Source organism: Homo sapiens, chromosome 5 (assembly GCF_000001405.40).
Source record: "Homo sapiens chromosome 5, GRCh38.p14 Primary Assembly".
Classification (NCBI taxonomy): Eukaryota; Metazoa; Chordata; class Mammalia; order Primates; family Hominidae; genus Homo; species Homo sapiens.
The window spans coordinates 41,585,164-41,593,375 of record NC_000005.10 but is presented as its reverse complement, the minus strand read 5'-3'; the positions used below and the strand labels follow the sequence as shown (position 1 = coordinate 41,593,375).

The following is an 8,212-nucleotide window of genomic DNA, read 5'->3' as shown; positions in this document are numbered from 1 at the left end:
GACTCCATCTCAAAGAAAAACAAAAAAATTTTTTAAAAAATTAAAAAAAATAAATTTGCCTGGAGGAAGGGAAATAGATAGCTACAGAAGGTATGATTTTCTTGTATGTGGTAACACAAAGCTAAAGAAAGTTAATGCAGTGAATATTTAGCTTTAGGTTAAAAAATATATTGCTTGACTAATGATGAGTCAAATCCATCAATATAAAATCTGTAGGAAATAAATAAAAATTACTACATTTAGGTTCAATAATTCAGCCTCGTAAGTATATTTTTAGGAGAACGGAACCTGAAATGATTAAGACAGAAATAGAGGGATTTTTAAGTGACAAAGTTATTTGCTTTTTAAAGACAATAATGGAACATAGTCTAATGATCCGATTAAATTTTGGGATTCAGATCATGGGACACTGGTCCCTTTTTCCTTTGTACAGTTCCTGTCATGGCTGACTTGCTGTATTCCATTCTGATTGCTAAATTATTAGAGGTTCATTTACTTCTCACAAATAAGTGAAACATGGTACTGGGATTGGGCAAACATGTCCCATTAAAATGATTAGTAAATCTTGGCATATTTAGCCAAGAGTAGAAAACAGATTGTATAAAAACTTACACTAATTACTTCTTCTCATTTCTTTCACATCTTATTATTGTTGAATTTTCGCAAAAGTAAGTTATTTGTCCTCTCTTTTTCATATATCCTAACTCCATTGGCCATTGCATCTGATCTCATGGCTTCAAATACCATCTATATACTGGCAACTGCCACATGTATATCTCTATCCCTGGCCTCTCCCAGGAACTCTAGAGTCTCATATTCAACTGTTCACTTGATTTTCATATGGATGCATAATACATGTTTCAAACATAATAATAAAACTCCCTTTTTTTGATTGCCTTCATCCCCTACCTCCAAACCTGCTTCTTATGCATTCTTCCCCATATAAATTAGTGACAACTAATCCTTCATCTGCTCAGATCAAAACTACTGAAGTCATGCTTGATTCCACTGCTTCTCTCTGATCACTGCAGAAGGGACATGAGGCATGGCAGATTTGTGGGAAGAAGAAGGAGGATAGGCATAGATAAAGGAGGAGCCAGTCTTATTTTAGAATATGTATAGGAAGCCTTAGAAAGTACATGTTAGGAAGAGACATTTGACAGTGAAGACTCATCACTAGATGTGCCTTTCAAGGAGAGTCCTGCAGTTCTGGACACTTGCTGCTCATGTCAGGTCTGTGGCTGAAGGAGAGAAGGGCATGATAAAAATTACATTCTAAAATGGGTAGCCTCCTCTAGGAATTGTTGGTTCAAGATGTTTGAGAGTCTGACTCTACGAATACCCTGGAATATTGGCAACTATGAGGCACACAGCGATGCCTGTTTTTGGTGACACTGAGAACAAAGCTGCTAATGATGGCTTCACCCACACTTTGCAATGCAAAACCCAACACCTGTGACTGTTCAGTCTTCTGTTATTGTGAAAGTAATTATACTATTCATGGAACACAATAATCTGCAATATTTCTCAGAGGAATAAAAAAATTTTACCTCTCTTGGTTTAATTTCCAGAGCAAAATTCAACATCTTTACTGCTTTACAGGAAAAACCAGACTAAAATAAAAAACACACTGACAACTAAGATGAGCAGAAGATGGCTATGGGTCTCATTAAATATATTTAGTTTTAATTTTCCTTCTCATTTGTCTTTTGTATAGATACAGTGTGTTTTAACAACTGGTATTTAATCTACTATAATTGTTCATTGTTCCATGCATAAAAAATTCTTTCATTTCCTATATACTGACAGTGCCCTTGCATGAATATGCTACAATTGATGGAGCAAAATTGGGTGTTCATTTGCCTTGATATTTACTATTAGGGCCCACTGAAATACAGGATGTGCCAAAGTTTACTTGAGTCTAATATAAATGTGACTATGGCTAAATATCAAGCAAACGAAGACAGGTGCAAAAATTCTTTGTTACTTATTATATCAAAAGCACTTAATACTTTACATATATTGTCTCATTAATCCTCAAAAATAACCTCAAGTATAAATTACTTGTTTCTATTTTGTAAATGAGGGCAATGAGTTTTGTGGAAGTTTCAATAATTTGTTTGAGGACACACAACTAATAAATGGTAGAGCCTAAAGTTTAAACCCATCTTTTCACTTTTCTTCAAAGCCCTTAGTTACTACACTGTGATGCTTCTCCTCCCACAAAAAGGAAAGAATAAAACAAAAAAAGTGTCATAAAGAATCATAAAGAAGGCTGAGTTGCCTTCCTTTTTAGGAGGCCTGGAGAACATCCAGGGTGAGGGTAGACAGATAGAGGAAGTCTGAGAAGACAAAGAGTTGAGACATCTGCGACTTTTACTTGAATGTTTGCAGGCTTGTGGCCACGGCCTTAATGAAAGTGAAAAAGAGAATATGCAAAGATGGAGGCATTTAAATGAAAACACATTCCCAGAATATTGCTCGGGACAAAGATGTTTTGCTATGGTCTTCATGGACAAGGTTGTTGTTCACTACCACTCCAGCAGACTCATCAGCAAGGTTAGTGGAAGAAAAAAGGCAACGATGTTTCAACAGGTCAACTTATAACAAGGACTAGAACCCAAGTGGATTTACAGCTAGGAAGAAGTGGGTTGGGTTGACTGACCACATAATAACCTAGGTATACTGAGTGGGATACATGTTTGTCCCAGTTTAATTAAGGATCTGATTGAAATAATTGGCTTTTAGATATTTTAAGTTTGCTTGGACTGAAATGAAAATTCCCAAAGTTTTGCCATTAATTAACATGGCAAAGTACTTTGAGATCATAGCTTCTCTCTGGCTTTTAAGATCAAAATTCTTCTTGCCTTATTATTGCCAAAAGAGTCCATTAGGTAAGGGAAAATAGCAAAAGTAATAGGAGGTCATTGCCATATTAATTGTGATTTTTCTGATAATTTGTTTAAAAAGAAATATAAGTAACTGGCAAAATAAAAAAAGAGTTTGTGTCTGTCTGCCTGGTGTAAATAATACATTATATTGTTTCTGTGGGTTGTGAATAAACAGTTCAGTACCTTTTCAGTATTAATGCTTAAGGAATTACATAAGAGTCCATAATGCCAAGTTGTAAAAGCTTAGACCAAAAAAAGCTATGTTTAAGTTTTATAATGATTAGGAATCATTCATTCAAAACCAAGACAAAGGCAGGCCTTGTCATCCTCACTGTCATTCTTGTGGAAGTGAAAATTGTTTCCTAAATTAAACAAAGTAGTTTATTTGCAGACACATGTTGAAACCACACATATACATAAGAAACAAATGTTTTAATGATGTTTCTTTCTTTTTGGAAGTTGGAAATTGTATTAGTTTAATATGGCTCATGTAACATATTATCAGAAAGTTGGTGTCTTCCAACCATGGAAATTTATTCTCTCACAGTTTTGAAATCAAGTTGTTGGCAGGGCCATGCTTTCTCCCAAGGCTCCAAGGGAGGATTCTTCCTTGCCCTTCTCCTACCTTCTGGTGGCTGCTGATAATTCTTGGTGTTCCTTGGCTTTTAGATGAAATCAGTCTCTGCCTTGACTGTCATATGGCCATCTCTTTATATGCCTCTGTCTTGTGTCTCAATTTCCATCCTGTCATGAGAATACTCGTCATTATATTAGGGCCCACCCTAATACAGTATGACCTCACCTTAACATGATTCATCTGCAGAGACCCTATTTCCAAAAAATGTCATATTCATAGGTACCAAAGATTATCACTTGATCATATGTTTTGGTGGACACAATTCAACCAGTACAGAAATTCAGTAGAAATATTATACTATTAGTTATTTACATAATTCTGTGGTCTAGATCCCAAAAGTATGACTCTGCTTTTTGTGTATTTCCATTCTCATCAGCTTTCTCTCTCAGGTACCCTGAAGCAAGTGTCCCCTCATCCTCTAGTTTTTACAAAGTAAAAAACAAAGAATCAGAGAAATCTTGGACCAAGAGCAGCATATTAGCATTTGGGGCCTAGAGTCTAGTCAAAAAAACAGAAATCTTAGCAGTTATTTTAACTGAGAGAATTTAAGGAATTGGGAGCTGAAAAGGCAAAAAAGAAGCATGGAGGTGACCCAGATCTAGTAAATGCTGGAGGAACAAAGGGAAGTGGTTGGAATAGGTACTTGGGAAAGGGGCTTAACAGAGTTGGGACTCAGACCCCTATTGGAGGTAACATGGGGCCATCAGTGCTGGTGTCTTTAAAGGGTACAATGAAGCTAGTTCTATGAGTGTGGAAAAATTGGAAGCCAGATCCACTGCCACTGCTCAGGTGAACTGCTTTGCTGTGGTGAACCTGGTGGGAGCAGTGTCCACTTAGCAAGGAACACATGTCTTTTCCTTCTGCCTACCCTCAGCATCCCTTTTTGTACCTTCTTTAGGGAGAGCTGAACTGGGAGACATCCAGCAAAGGGGAGACAATGGTTGGAAGAGTCCCAGACCCAGCATCGCAATGCAAATGTGGAAAGGTGGGTTTGAAGCTGAAAGATATATCTCAATAATCAGCAGATGCAAATTTACAGGGCCAGATTTTCAGATTGGAAAGATTAACTCACACTGAAAGCTGGTAGAAAGAGGGGAAATGGGGAAACTAATGAGAACTGGAGAGAAACACGCAGAGGAAGTGGGAAAGGCAAGAAAGACTGACTTTTCAGGAAGTATATTAGAATGGATAAAGTTTATTGATCACCAACATCAAATATTTTTAAACCCTAAACTGAGAGTTTTATGTTTATTTTCTATTTTTTATTTATTTTTATTTTTTAGAGACAGAGCCTTACTCTGTTGCCCACGCTGGAGTGCAGTGGAGTGATCATAGCGCACTGTAACCTCCAACTTCAGGAATTGAGAGTTTTGAACTTAAACACTTTAGACGGAGATGAGAACATGAAGGGAAAATCTCATCTTCTATTCAAGAAGGAAATAAACAGATCCAGGTGGAATTTCTTCCATGGCCTGGGAAGCTGCTGTGTATAAATTCCAGAAGCAGGGGACCACTACTATTAACTGTTATATGCTGATGTACTATGCACTGAGGGGAATACAAAACAAATAGCACATGTACAATCAATTGATGTGAAAATCAATGCATTAGGACTTCAGAGAACAAACAGACTGCACCCCATATTGCAGTGTTTCTCAACCTTTTTTTTTCTATCATTACCCCCCTAAGGAGCTTTCAGACTTTTTCCCCCTATTTATTCCCTCCTCCCATAAAACGTTGATACATTGCACATCTCTTTATACACTGGTCCTTTGGAGAGCCATGAAGCATTGCAATGTCTAAGTTTCCTCCCTCCCATGCCCTCCAAAAACAAATTTTTGCCCAAGTTAAAAATTCACACTAGCTTTCCTGCCATGTCCTGCGGCCAAGCGTTGGGGGAGCTGGGAAGCTGGTGTAGGGGTGTTACCCAGCAGCCCCTGTGGCGTCATGCGGGTCGGCTCCACGCATCACTGCTCTGGTCGCTGGTTGGCTGAGGTGAGATGATACTGGTTGCCCGCGGTGTGTGTGAGTGGAAGTCGACGTATACCCCTGCGTTGAAGATGGAGGGGCCTTTGTCCGTGTTCGGGGACCAAGACCGCAGCACTGGGGAGGTGGTCCGCTCCCAGAACGTTATGGCTTAAGCTTCAATTGCCAATACTGTGAAAAGTTCTCTTGGTCCAGTTGGCTTGGATAAAATGTTGGTGGATGATGTTGGTGATGTAACCATTACTAATGATGGTGCAGCCATTCTGAGGTTACCGGAGGTAGAACAATCCTGCAGCTGAAGTTCTTTGTGAGCTGGCTGACCTGCAAGACAAAGAAGTTGGAGATGGAACTACCTCAATGCGAAGCCCTGCGTTATATCCGTTAAAACTTAATTATCTACACAGATGAACTGGGAAGAGATTGCCTGATTAATTCCACTGAGACATGGATGTCTTCCAAAATCATTGGAATAAATGGTGATTTATTTGCTAATATAGTAGCAGATACTGTACTTGTTACTACATACACAGATATTAAGAGGCCAGCCTCGCTATCCAGCCAATTCTGTTAATATTCTGAAAGCCCATGCGAGAAGTCAGATAGAGAGTATGCTGATCAGTGGGTATGCACTCAGCTGTGTGGTGGGATCCCAGGGCATGCCCAAAATAATTGTTAATGCGGAAATTGCTTGACTTAACTCTAGCCTGTAAAAAAACAAAAATGAAGCTTTGCCATATTGTCTGGCTCTGTGTCCCCACCCAAATCTCATCTTGAATTGTAATCCAAATTGTAATTCCCATATGTTGGGGGAGGGACTCTATGCTGTTCTCATGATACTGAGTTCTGACAAGATCTGATGGTTTTATAAGGAGCTGTTCCCTTCTCCCTCTGCACTTCTCCTTTCTGCTGCCATGTGAAGGACATGTTTCCTTCCTCTTCGGCCAGGATTGTAAGTTCCTGAGACCTCCCAAGCCCTGTAAAACTGTGAGTCAATTAAACCTCTTTCCTTTACTAATTACCCAGTCTAGGCAGTTCTTTATAACAGTGTGAGAATGGACTAATATACTTGATGTACAGGTGGTCATTACAGACCCTGAAAAACTGGACCAAATTAGACAGAAAGAATCAGATATTATCAAGGAGAGAATTCCGAAGATCCTGGCAACTGATGCCAATATTATTCTAATAGCTGGTGGAATTGATGATATGTGTCAAAGTATTTTGTAGAGGTTGGGGCTATGGCAATTAGAAGAGCTTTAAAAAGGGACCTTAAATGCATTGCTGAAACTTCTGGAGGGACTGTTCTGTCAACCCTGGCCAATTTGAAGGGTGAAGAAACTTTTGAAACTGCAGTGTCGGGACAGGTGGAAGAAGTGGTACAGGAGAGAATTTGTGATGATGAGCTGATCTTAATCAAAACCAGTAAGGCTTGTGCATCTGCATCAATTATCTTACATGGGGCAAATGATTTCGTATGTGATGAGATGGAGCACTCTACATGATGCTCTTTGCATAGTGAAGAAAGTTTTGGAGTCAAAATCCATGATGCTAGTTGGGGATGCTGTAGAAGCAGCCTTTTCCATATACCCCGAAAACTGTGAAACCAGCATGGAGTCTCAGGAACAGCTTGCTATTGCAGAGTCTGCAAGACCTCTTCCTGTTATTCACTGACAGTTAATGCTGCCCAGAACTCCACAGATCTGGTTGCATAGTTTAAGGGCTTTTCATAATGAGGCTCAAGTTAACCCAGAAAGTAAAAATCTAAAATGAATTGGTCTTGATTTGAGAAATGGTAAACCTAGACACAACAAACAAGCAGGGGTGTTTGAACCAACCACAGTTAAAGTTAAGAGTTTGAAATTTGCAACAGAAGCTGCAGTTACCATTCTTCAAATTGATGATCTTATTAAATTATACCCAGAAAGTAAAGATGTTAAACATGGAGGGTATGAAGATGCTGCTCATAACTGGGGCCCTTGATGTTCTGAAGCCCTTGATAACTGATCTGATGTCTCTTTGATTTATAACAATGTTAGATGCAATTGTCTCGTACCTTGAATTGAGTATTATACATTAAAGTATAGCAAGCTGTCAAAGAAAATTTACACTATAGTGGTGCCTCACCCAGATTTTCTTCACTGGTTGTTCCCATGTCCCCTAGCTGCTCTGAGAACTATTCTAGGAGAATTCTGTAGAGGATTGCCTTAGGTAAAAGGAAACTATCTCAATTGAAGTGTTTATACCATAGGCTCCCACCAAAGCCAGTGGCCCATAACTCACTGATACTAGGGCATGAAAGATTGACCACCCCCCCTCAAGGAAGAAACAGTACTGTGATAAAATTCATATTCAACAGCTCCCTGTGGGATAAAGTAGAAGCTAATATCTAGGCAGGACCCATATTTGTTTACCTTTCCTCTCTTGTTCTGTCTTGCTTCCTTCCTTAACTCCTCTTCTGTAGAGAGCATACCCTCATTAAATTAGTTTTACAAGAATCTCAATCTTAGATGCTACACTTGAAAACCTGAGTTAAGACACACCCCTAGTAACTGGAGTCACTAGGAGGTTTCATGAAGAAACTTCATCACAGAGCTAAGTGAAAAGGAAGGAGTGAATGAATTATGTAGGCATCACAATGAGCAAAGATGTGGAAGGTTTTAGAGATGGTGAAAAGATTGGCTTGGCTAAAGCAGAACAT

The 8,212-nt window shown here is 38.9% G+C and overlaps 1 pseudogene, besides 1 other annotated feature; it reads left to right on the top strand.

The window, feature by feature from the left end:
• On the top strand, positions 5,458 to 7,609 carry TCP1P2 (t-complex 1 pseudogene 2; annotated as a pseudogene).
• Positions 5,547 to 5,680: a silencer, noted in NCBI's record as "fragment chr5:41587798-41587931 (GRCh37/hg19 assembly coordinates)". NCBI's record gives its function as "represses an EF-1alpha promoter that drives an FKBP-Casp9 reporter gene in an ReSE screen in HepG2 liver carcinoma cells and K562 erythroleukemia cells {active_cell/tissue: HepG2 | K562}" and the evidence as "EXISTENCE:reporter gene assay evidence [ECO:0000049][PMID:32094911]".